General features: G+C 50.9%; 2 annotated features.

Moving 5' to 3' along the window:
• Positions 2,205–2,499: a silencer, noted in NCBI's record as "tiled region #958; K562 Repressive non-DNase unmatched - State 7:EnhWF". NCBI's record gives its function as "represses a minimal TATA promoter and a strong SV40 promoter by Sharpr-MPRA in K562 cells {active_cell/tissue: K562}" and the evidence as "EXISTENCE:reporter gene assay evidence [ECO:0000049][PMID:27701403]".
• Positions 5,929–6,721: an enhancer, noted in NCBI's record as "H3K27ac-H3K4me1 hESC enhancer chr21:44506453-44507245 (GRCh37/hg19 assembly coordinates)". NCBI's record gives its function as "activates a minimal SCP1, AML or CMV promoter by ChIP-STARR-seq in primed H9 embryonic stem cells {active_cell/tissue: H9 hESC(primed)}" and the evidence as "EXISTENCE:reporter gene assay evidence [ECO:0000049][PMID:30033119]".

Here is a 12,137-nt window from a genome sequence, read left to right on the forward strand (position 1 = left end):
AGGGACAGTGAAAAGCTGGTGGGTCCATGGACAGGCAGCGTCACTGGAGAGAAAGAACTGCCGATGGAGAGTTCTAGAATAAGGAGCTGGAGCATCCGAGGGGCTGAAGGGCTGGCACTATAGCAACAATGCCCTTTGGGTATGAGAGGAGGGGAGGATTTGTGTAGGTCGGTGGCCAAGATCGTTCTGAGGGGAGGGTTCCTGAGCCCAGGCGTCCAGGAGGAGCTTGGATCTTTAATTTCTTTCAGTGGTGTTTTGGGATTTGGGGTATGTAAGTCTCACACTTCTTTGGTTACATTTATTCCTTTTGACTTGAGGGGCGAGTCTGCTGGCCCAGGAATGCAGGCGGTCCGTGTCTCAGGTTGGCTGCACGTCTTCCAGCAACGCTGTGTCATTTTCCGAGAGTAACGTGTGCACTCACTCACTTTCACGCCATCTCTCCACTCTGCATTTGGGCAAGCAGAGTTCCTGCTCCCCGTTCTGCGTGTCTGCCCCACCCCCACACCCCCACATCCCACCTTCAGTTACTAATACTGTATCTTTTCTTTTTCTTTTTCTTTCTTTTTTTTTTTTTTTTGAGATGGAGTCTCACCCTATCACCCAGGCCAGAGTGCTGTGGTGTGATATTGGCTCACTGCAACCTCCGCCTCCCGGGTTCAAGCGATTCTCCTGCTTCAGCCTCCCGAGTAGTTGGGATTACAAGCATGCGCCACCACGCCCAGCTAATTTTGTATTTTTTAATGGAGACAGGGTTTCTCCATGTTGGTCAGGCTTGTCTCGAATTCCCAACCTCAGGTGATCCACCCGCCTCAGCCTCCCAAAGTGCTGGGATTATAGGCGTGAGCCACCGCACCCAGCCTGTATCTTTCATTTTTCTAGAGACAGGGTCTCGCTCTGTCTCCCAGGCTGGAGTGCAGTGGTGCATTCATGGCGCCCTGCAGGCTTGACCTCCTGGGCTCAAGTGATTCTCCTGCCTCAGCCTCCCAAGTAGCTGGGAGCACAGGTGTGAGCCACCACACCCGGCTACAGTTACTAATGCTATTGCTACCGACAACGGCAACAACTGACTGCCATGCACTGATTGCGGATGTGCCAGGCCCTGCTCTGGGAGCTTCACCTGTGTTACCTGACAGGATCTTCCTAACACTGAAGGAGGGGCACGACCTGACCATCCCTTTACAGAAGAGAAAGACGAGTGTGCAGGAACAGGGAGCAGAGCTGGGTGAGACCAGGCGGCGGGACTCCTGGGCCCACTCTTACCCATGGGACTTTGTGGTCCTCCCACGACGCCAATCAGCCCCAGTTTGAACCACGTGAAATTGCTGAAATGTGACCTTTTGACCCACAAAAAAATGGCAATTTCCTATGATTCAACTTTTTTTTTTTTTTTTTGAGACGGAGTCTCACTCTGTCGCCCAGGCTGGAGTGCAGTGGTGCAATCTTGGCTCACTGCAACCTCCGTCTCCCGGGTTCAAGCTATTCTCCTGCCTCAGCCTCCTAAGTAGCTGGGATTACAGGTGCGTTCCACCGTGCCTGGCTAATTTTTGTATTTTTAGTAGAGATGGGGTTTCACCATGTTGGCCAGGCTGGTCTTTTTTTTTTTGGAGATGGAGTCTTGCTCTGTTACTCAGGCTGGAGTGCAGGGGCGTGATCTCAGCTCACTGCAAGCTCCGCCTCCCGGGTTCACGCCATTCTCCTGCCTCAGCCTCCTGAGTAGCTGGGACTACAGGCGCCTGCCACCACGCCCGGCTAATTTTTTGTATTTTTAGTAGAGACGGGGTTTCACCGTGTTAGCCAGGCTGGTCTTGAACTCCTGACCTCAGGTGATCCACCCACCTCGGCCTCCCAAAGTGCTAGGATTATAGGTGTGAGCCATCGCACCCGGCTGATTCAACTTATTTTTATTTATTTATTTTTTGAGACGGAATCTCGCTCTGTCACCCAGGCTGGAGTGCAGTGGTGCAATCTCGGCTCACTGCAACCTTCATCCCCCAGGTTCAAGCGATTCTCCTGCCTCAGCCTCCCTGGGATTACAGGCACCCACCACACCTGGCTAATTGTTGTGTTTTTCGTAGAGACAGCGTTTTGCCATGTTGGCCAGGCTGGTGACAAACTCCTGACCTCAGGTGATCTGCCCACCTCAGCCTCCCAAAGTGCTGGGATTACAGGCGTGAGCCACCGTGCCCCTGGCTGATTCAACTTATTTTTAAAAAAAGACCTGGGATTTGAGGAGGTGCCTGAATAGTTGGAGGTAGGCGTTTTCCAAATCGAGTTTGGCTGCGTGGGGTGGAATGTAGGCTCCAAGGATGCCCCGCTGTGTGAACAGGCCAGCTGCTCCTGGAATGCTGCTGAGAGGGAGGTGCCCTGTTGAGGGGGAGTCCCAGGGGGGTGAGGGGCTGGCTTCCTTGCTGAGAGCCACACCATGCCATCTAACAAGTCAGCTGGAACCCCTGGCAAGATGGCCGAGGCTGGGTGGTGACCTCACTTGCTGGGTTGCTGGGCCCAGGCCCGGCTCTCTCCTGAAAGCTCCACAGACCTGCAGACTCAGTTTCCAGGCCTGTCCTGCTGCCCCCGGAGCACGGGCATGGGAAGACAGCCATCTGGGCGGTCTCGGGACTGTTTGGTTGAGAAGGTTCTGTCACATATGACGTGCTAGAAAGAAAAGACCTTGGACTTTAATTTCTTTGGGCGTTAGAGAGGAGAAGGCGATTTCAGCTTTAGACCATGTTTTCTCTTAGGAGCCTGGCGGTGGGAGGGGAGCCCGGCCATGGGAGGGGAGTCATATTTTCCAGACTGTGCGGCTTCAGGCCACCATGGGTCTCAGCTGATCTCTTACAAAGCGCTTGGGAGCTCCCGAGACCGGGGAGGCGGCGCGGCGTGTCAGCCTTGGCTGCCGGGTGGCGCTTGAGTTAACCTGATTATTGCATGGATCTCACTGGTTCAAAACCTTCCTGGGGAAGAAGCCAACTGTCCGTGGAACCAGGAGGAGCCTGAGGGGTGGCAGTGGGCACTAAGGAAGTGGCCTCGGGGTGCGGGAGGACAGCCTTGGCATGGTTGATGCCTTGCCCAGCCCACTCTGGGTGAGGGAACACGGGAACAGTGTCATGTTTCCATGAGGGGCCACTCCTGGCTTCTCTCCTCACCCCCCCACCCCCCATCCTTCCCTGGAGAGGAGTGTGACCTGTCTGACCGCGTCATGCCGAGGCTTCGGCACTGACTTGTGCAGATGCCTGCACTGCAGGGCGCTGATCTGTTTAAATGGCGCGAGCCCTGGGGACTCACTCCCTCCCTACCCCCAAGCAGGCACAGGGCCAGCGTCCCTGCATGCTGTGTGGGCCCAAGCTGACCCGCAGGTGGGCAGTCCCGGGTCAGACCATGGACAGGGATGGCCTTACAAGTTCTCTGGGCCTTAAAATCTAGATTCATGTTCTCCAATCTGCTTTGTCAGAAATAAAGTTGATAAGGCAAAAAAAGTCTACTCAGGTGAAAACCCTCAGAGGCATCCTTGAATTCTCTCTCACAGCCCACACTGGACGCAACAGCAAATCCCATAGGCTCTTTTTTTCTTGAGTCAGGTCTTGCTCCGTTGCCCAGGCTGGAGTGCAGTGGTGCAGTCCTGGCTCACTGCAGCCTCAACCTTCTGGGCTCAAGTGACCCTCCCACCTCGGGCTCCCGAGCAGCTAGGACCACAGGCATGTGCCACTGTACCTGGCTGGTTTTTAAATACTTTTTGTAGAGATAGGGTTTCACCATGTTGCCCAGGCTGCTCTTGAACTCCTGGGCTGATCCACTTCCCTAGGCCTCCCAAAGTGCTGGGATTGCAGGCATGAGCCACTGTGCCCGGCCCCTGTAGACTCCTGTTCATTCAAAATATACCCCAGGCACAAGGACGTGCAAAAGACCCACGAGCAGAAGGGAATCCAAGAACAGACCCATCTGCACACGGTGACGGGACTACCACAGAGGGAGCCGCGTCCTGCAGGGAAAGGTGGTGGTTGTTTTTACAATAAATGCTGCTGGAGCAATTGGATATCCATGTAGGAAAGCGCTGATTTCACACCGACACGGAACATGGCTGCATGCGTGGCTCACGCCTGTAATCCCAGCACTCTGGGAGGCCAAGGCCGGTGGATCACTTGAAGCCAGGAGTTTGAGACCAGCCTGGCAACATGTGAAACCCTGTTTATATTAAAAAAAAAAAAAATTAGATGGGCATGGTGGCTTGCACCTATATTCTCAGCTACATGGGAGGCTGAGGTGGGAGAATCACTTGAGCCCAGGAGTTTGAGGCTATAGTGAGCTATAATTATGCCACTGCACTCCAGCCTGGGTGACAAAGTGAGACCCTGTCTCAACAATGACAACAACAAAAGGAAGACAAATCCTAGAGCTAAATGTGAAAGTGAACATATTAAAGCTTATGACGGGGGCTGGGCACAGTGGCTTACACCTGTAATCCCAGCACTTTGGGAGGCCAACGTGGGAGGGTGGCTTGAGCCCAAGAGTTTGAGACAAGCCTGAGCAATATGGTGAATCCCTGTTTCTACAAAAAAAAAAAAAAAAAAAAAATCAAAAAATTAGCCAGTCGTGGTGGTGCACACCTGTAGTTCCAGCTACTTGGAAGGCTGAGGTGGGCGGATCGCTTGAGTCCAGGAGATGGAGCCTGCAGTGAGCTGAGATCACACCCACTGCACTCCAGCCTGGGCGACACAGCCAGACCTTGTCTCAAAAACAAGCTAACAGGCTGGGCGCAGTGGCTCATGCCTGTAATCTCAGCACTTTGGTGGGCTGAGGCAGACAGATCACTTGAGGTCAGGAGTTCGAGCAACTCAGGAGGCTGAGGCAGGAGAATCGCTTGAACTCAGGAGGCAGAGGTTGCAGTGAGCTGAGATCACACCACTGTACTCCAGCCTGGGCGACAGAGTGATAATCCTTCTCAAAAAAAAACAAAACACGCACACGCACACACACACACACACAAGCGGCCAGGCACCATAGCTCATACCTGTAATCCCAGCACTCTGGGAGGCCAAGGCGGGTGGATCACCTGAGGTCAGGAGTTCAAGACCAGCCTGGCCAATATGGTGAAACTCTGTCTCTACTAAAAATACAAAAATTAGCCAGACGTGGTGGTATGTGCCTGTAATCTCAGATACTTGGGAGGCTGAGACAGGAGAATTGCTTGAACCTGGGAGGCGGAGGTTGCAGTGAGCCAAGATCGCACCATTGCACTCCAGCCTGGGCAACAAGAATGAAACTCCATCTCAAAAACAGAACAAAACAAAACAAAACAAAAAGCAAACAGGCTGGGGATGGGGGCTCACGCCTATAATCCCAGCACTTTGGGAGGTTGAGGCAGGTGGATCGCTTGAGGTCAGCAGTTTGAGACCAGCCTGGCCAACATGGTGAAACCCCATCTCTACTAAAAATACAAAAATTACCCGGGTGTGGTGGCGGGCGCCTGTGGTACTTGGGAGGCTGAGGCAGGGGAATTGCCTGAACCCAGGAGGTGGAGGTTGTAGTGAGCTGAGATTGTGCCACTGCACTCCAGCCTGGGCGACAGAGTGAGTCTTCATCTCAAAAAAAACCAACCAAACAAACAAACACACACACACAATATATATATATATAAGGCTTACAACAAAGACAGAGAATATCAGCAGGAACTTAGGGAGGCGAGAAGTATCTTACATGGAACACAAAAAGCACCGTGTACAGACGAAAGATGGGTAAATCAACTTAGTTGAATTCTAAGAACAGGCTTTCATCAAGACACCATTTAGAGAGAGAAAAGGCAAACCACAGACTGGGAGAAAATATTTGCAACGCACGTCAACAAAAGATTCATCTCCACCGTATATAAAAAACATCTAGAAATAAATAAGAAAATGACAAACTACTCAATTTTTTTATTTTTATTTTTTTTTGAGACAGAGTTTCACTTTTGTCACCCAGGCTGGAGTGCAATGGGCGTGATCTCGGCTCACTGCAACCTCTGCCTCCCAGGTTCAAGTGATTCTCCTGTTTCAGCCTCCTGAGTAGCTGGGATTACAGGTGCCTGACAACCAGGCCCGGTTAATTTTTGTATTTTTAGTAAAGACGGGGTTTCACCACGTTGGTCAGGCTGGTCTCGAACTCCTGACCTCAGGTGATCCACCCACCTCGGCCTCCCAAAGTGCTGGGATTACAGGCGTGAGCCACTGTGCCCAGCCTCGATATTTTAAAATAGGCAAAAGACTTAAACCCGGCTTCACAGAGAGACATGCAAATGTTAACAGCAGGAAAAAGTGCCGGCCTCATTAGTCATCAGAAATACGAAAATGAAAACCACAGTCACCCATCACTGCACCCCACCAGAACGGCTTACAAACCAAGCGGAGAGGACCACCCCAAGCCCATCACAGTCCAAGCCGCCCTCTGCTCTTGCCTGGACAGTCCTGTCTGTGTGCTTCTCCTCTGCACTCCTGCCCGGCCTGCAGTCTGTCCCCCACACTGCAGTGAGAAACTGCTTTAAGCATATAAATTAGAGCTCTTTATGCTCCTGTTCAAACCCTTCCCACGACTCAGCTTAGGGATTCCAGGGACAAGCCACGTGTGGTCACTCAGACCTGTACTCCCAGCACTTTGGGAGGCCGAGGCGGGAGGATGGCTTCAGCCCAGGAGTTTGAAGCCAGCTTGGGCAACATGATGAGACCCTGTTTCTAGGGAAAAAAAATATTCCAGGTCCTTCCCATGGCCCATGAGGCCCTGTGAGAGCTCTCCCTGGCGTCCTCCCCAACCTTTTCCTGATCTCTTCCCAGCACACGTCTTCAACACCTGGGGAAGGATGCCCAGGGTCCCTCCCTCTGGGGCCCCCCAGTACTCAGTCCTGAGTGACTGTGGGCCTGGTTTCACCCAGTGGCATGTGCAGCTTGCAGGTCATTCTGGTCAGGGGCCAGAGCGCCAGCAAGAAGTCTCTCTCTCTCTCATCACCCCTCTCTCTCCCTCCCTCCCTGTAAGCTGGCAGCATTTTGGGTGGGGGCTGCCCTGTCAGCCTGGCCCCCGTGAAGACAGCTCTGAGCTGCAGGACCGATGGCAGGCATGTAGGTGAGCGGGACATGAGTCCTGGGATTTCAGGGCTGTTGTGACCTGGTGCTAGTCCTTCCTGACAACCCCAGTGTGTTCCTGGTTCCTGCCGCAGGAAATCTGCCCTCACTGCTCCACGCGCCAGGACGTGCACTCCTCCTCCTCTTTCCGCACCTGTCTCCCGGCTGCGGCTGCTCACTTGTACCTGCACCATTACTTACTGCTGTATTCTTTGCTTTTTCCAGACTGATGCACCCACCAGCTGCAAATCTTAGGCCAGCTACACCCAACACAGTTGAATATTGTGGACAAGCTGTGCCAGACAAAATCATACATGATTTCACTTCTAAAAGCAGGCAAAACTGTCATGTTTAGTGAACCATATGTAGTTTGTAAAATAGTAAAAGCAAAACAAAATGATTATTGCAAATGTCAAGATAGTTGTTTCTTTTAGGGGGAGGAAGAATTTTATGGCCGGGGAGGGCTGGCCTGGATGCTGGCTTTGTGTTGCTTCTTGACCACGATGATCACCTTGCAATTGTCTTTTAAACCAGGTTTAGCTTTGAGGTACTTTGCTGTATGTATCATACATCTAATTAAAAATATAACAGACATGGGAGCCAGCTAAGAGATGCAACATAAGCGTAACTGGGGGAACCATAAGAAACAATGTTGGCTGGGCACAGCGGCTCACGCCTGCAATCCTAGCACTTTGGGAGGCTGAGGTGGGTGGGTCACCTGAGGTCAGGAGTTCGAGACCAGCCTGGCCAACATGGCGAAAAATACAAAAATGAGTCGGGTGTGGTGGTGTGTACTCGTGGTCCCAGCTATTCAGGAGGCTGAGGCGCAAGAATCACTTGAACTGGAGAGGCAGAGGTTATAGTGAGCTGAGATCGTGCCACTGCACTCCAGCCTGGGTGACAAAGTGAGACTCTGTCTCAAAAAATAAAAGAAACAACGTAAGAAAACTTAGAACAGATGAAGTATTTGATAGCATTCATCCTTGACTTCCTGGATTGAATCACACCCACTACTGGCAGATTTACCTTAACACGCTGCTGGACTGTTTGCTAATATTGGATGTGGGGGTTTTGCATCCATATTCAGAACTGGGAGGCCCCTGTAGTTCTGTGGGCCATTTTGATCAGTATCACACTCAGTTCATAGAATTTGGAAGCTGACCTTTTTTTCAGGTTGGAAAAATAAGTGATGCCAACTTGGGCCTATGAGATCGAGATGCTGGGTGTCTGTCATGGCCTGCATCGGCCATCTCGCTATTCGCCTAATGTTATGTGGAACCCACATGGCACAGACCAGAGCTCAGCAGGGCAAGGCCACTGGACCTAATTACAGAAGCCAACACCTTTTTTTTTTTTTTTTTGAGACGGAGTCTCACTTTATCAGCCAGGCTGGAGTGCAGTGGCACAATCTTGGCTCACTGTAACCTCTGCCTCCTGGGTTCAAGCGATTCTCCTGCCTCAGCCTCCCGAGTAGCTGAGACTACAGGCATGTGCCACCACACTCGGCTAATTTTTTTTTGTATTTTTAGTAGAGACAGTGTTTCATCATGTTGGCCAGGATGGTCTCAATCTCCTGACCTCGTGATCCGCCCGCCTTGGCCTCCCAAAATGCTGCAATTACAGGCGTGAGCCACCACGCCCGGCCCAACACATCTTCTCGTTGTTGGAGCTAGTTTGTTAGATTGTCTGTCACCTGCAGCGAACAGCACACTGGGACAGCCTGGTCCACTTAGGGTCTCTGAAGCGGTTCCCTCTTCTGCAGAGCGAGACGCTCCTATTTCTCAAGAGCTTGTGTGGGTCAACTGGGATAAAGAGCTAAAGAGGTCCCTTTTCTTCCTGCTTTGTCCCATGTCAACCACAACTCCCCTTGCTGGTGTCTGGATTTTCAGGGCAGGTAAAATTTACCTTCCATGCCCCCACAACCTGGTTCAGCTTTGCTATTTCCAAAGCCCTTGAGATTCTAACCCCGCCATCCCCCTGGACCTCTCACTTCTCAGGCTGCTCATCTGGACCGAAGGGAGCTCTGGGAACAGAGCGGTGGTTCCTAGGAAGTGCTGCTTCGATTTGAGCCCCGCTTCTCCAGGGCAGAGGCACAGCATTCGCCAGGCAGGCACTGTGTCTTGCTCACCCCGTGGTGTGCATGCATGTCCCAGCGTCCTGGCGGTGCTGGCCACTGGGTGGCTGCGAACCCCTGGAGCCTGGGAAACATGAAATAACAAGCCACTGCAGGGAGCGTCATAACACGGAACACGCTCGACGGCTGTCCTCTCCTGGGTCCCCTGCGTTAGGCATGCAAACTTGGGTGCGCAGGGTAAAGCATGTGGGCTTTATTACTGCATTCCCTACTGTCATGTATGTTTAGATATTTCCAAAATAGAACTTTTATTTCATGAAATGATGGTGAAACTTGAAAGCAAGCTAAAAAGTCCCACTTGGCAAATTAAAAGTTAGAAATCTTATGTTGATCCCGTCTTTGGTAAAATTTAGGTGGAATGTGAAATTCACGGTCTGGGAATAAAGTGCTTTTTAGGGCCATCCATAGCCACGTCCCGCATGGCTTGTTAGTGTTCTGAGACTCAAAGTCTTACCTTCCATCGCACAGGATCGAGAATCAGATTTTATAATTCTATTCTTCCTCTGTGCTTTGAATTGAGACTTTTTCCAGAAATCATTCTTAGGTTTATTCCCTTTTGGTAAATTCTAGTTCAATCCTGAACTAGAAAAGAGGCAGTGACCACCATCACCCCTTTAGACACTGCCGTGGGCACACCACCAATACCTTCCCCATACTCAGTTCATTTGAAGGCAACAGATTTTCTCCAATTAGCAGGGCAATGACCCCATTAATCATGGTTTCAGAAATATTTAAAATGATCCTTATCTACTTACAAGCACATGCATATGGTAAGCTTGTTAGTCCTCCTGACTCAACAGCAAGCAAAAGAATGCTGCAGGGAGGCCAGGCATGGTGGCTCACACCTGTAATCCCCGAACTTTGGGAGGCCGAGGCAGGTGGATTGCCTGAGCTCAGCAGTTCGAGACCAGCCTGGGCAACGTGGTGAAATCCCACCTCTACTAAAATACAAAAAATTAGCCGGGCCTGGCGGCGTGTGCCTGTAATCCCAGCTACTCAGGAGGTTGAGGCATATAATCGCTTGAACCTGGGAGGCGGAAGTTGCAGTGAGCCGAGATTGTGCCACTGCACTCCAGCCTAGGCGACAGAGCAAGACTCCGTCTCTTAAAAAAAAATTGCTGCAGGGAGCACACAGTAACTTAGATAATTCAACACCACTGTTGAATCAGATGTGCTGATACCGTATTTAAAGTTTATTCTGGCAGCTGTTTGCCATTTGGTTTTATATCTCAGCAAACGTCATATAATATTCACGTAAGAAACAATTTACAGTGGTATTTGGACCTGAATTCATTATAAATCAAAATTATTTCAAGTGGCTTTTATATTCTTCCTTTTTAAAAACAATCTGCCTGGCCCTAGCACCTGTATAAAAGCTTAACTCTATCTGCCACTGGTGGACCGCCTGGACTCATTTCACTGGGCTGCTCTTTCTCAACCATGATCCACGCACACCAGAGGGGCAGCAGTGCCTCATGGGCACTCAGGGTCATGCTCACCTTCCCACCTCAACCGCATCATAGACCCACACTGGGGTGGGGGAGTGGGGAGCAGGGTGACAGGCTTCCTGTGTGACTGTGAGCTCCTCTTACTACAATGTCTGAAGACACTTTTTATGGCATTTTGATTCACATTTTATCATTTACTGGTTTTTTTTTTGGGACAGGGTCTCACTCTGTTGCCCAGGCTGGAGTACAGTGGCAATCACACCTCACTGCAGCCTCGGCTTACCAGGCTTGGGTGGGTCCTCCCATCTCAGCCTCCCGAGTAGCTGAGACCACAGGCATGTGCCACCACACCCAGCTAATTTTTTTATTTTTTGTTGAGATGGGGGTCTATGTTTGCTGCTCAGGCAGGTCTTGAACTCCTAGACTCAAGTGATCCTCCTGCCTCAGCCTCTCAAAGTCATGTATATTTTAAATAAGCTTTCTGATTCTTAGCGGTTAAGAAATATAAAGTACAACTTTTGCCATCTTCCCTCCTTCAGACTGAGTGGAAATTAATAAATGGCCATCACTGACCAAAGTTAAGGTAAAAGAAAAAAAAAGTTTGTACTTTTTTTGGAAACATGTCGAGTATAAGGACATAAACGAAACGGCCCACATCGCCAAACACTGCCACTAACCCATCTAAAATTACCATTTGCCCACCACCCACATCACCAAACACTGCCACTAACCCATCTAAAATTACCATTTGCCCACCACCCACATCACCAAACACTGCCACTAACCCATCTAAAATTTCTGCCCACCACCCACATCGCCAAACACTGCCACCAACCCATCTAAAATTATCTGCCCACTACTATAGTATACAAACCTATTTTTTTCTAAGAGACAAGGTCTCACTGTGTTGCCCAGGCTGGAGTGCAGTGGCATGATCATAGCTCACTTCAGCCTCCCAGGTGAATCGACACCATCACCTTCTTGAACTTCATCACATACAAATGGGCTTTCATGAGATGGTCAAGTAGTATGTCCTGCCAATCTTCACTGGGTGTGTAGTTAGGGCCCAGCCACTCCCCTACTCCACCAGCAGGATCTGTCACTGAGCCCCCACAAGGAGCAGAGCAGGGCAGGAGAGCCTGGGTGACTCCCACCTAGAGCCAGGAGGTTTTTGAGGATGAGGTATGTGGACACGTGGGCATGGTTTGGGATGGCCTCACTTGGAACGTTTTGGTCTTAGGAATGAAATGCTCAGCCCCCAGCACTGACTTGTGGCAGGTGCCCCAGACCGGTCAGCTGGCTGTCACCATAGTCACACCACCAGCACGCGCCACCCGAGTAGCTTGGGGAAAGTAATACCAGAGTGTCTAAAGGCGGATCTGCACCGCAGGCTTCTGTGTCTCCCACAGCCATTGGCATAAGGAAACACGGACACGGACTACTGGCCCTCAGTGTGCCGTGTGAGCATCC

This window comes from Homo sapiens, chromosome 21 (genome assembly GCF_000001405.40).
Source record: "Homo sapiens chromosome 21, GRCh38.p14 Primary Assembly".
NCBI lineage: Eukaryota > Metazoa > Chordata > Mammalia > Primates > Hominidae > Homo > Homo sapiens.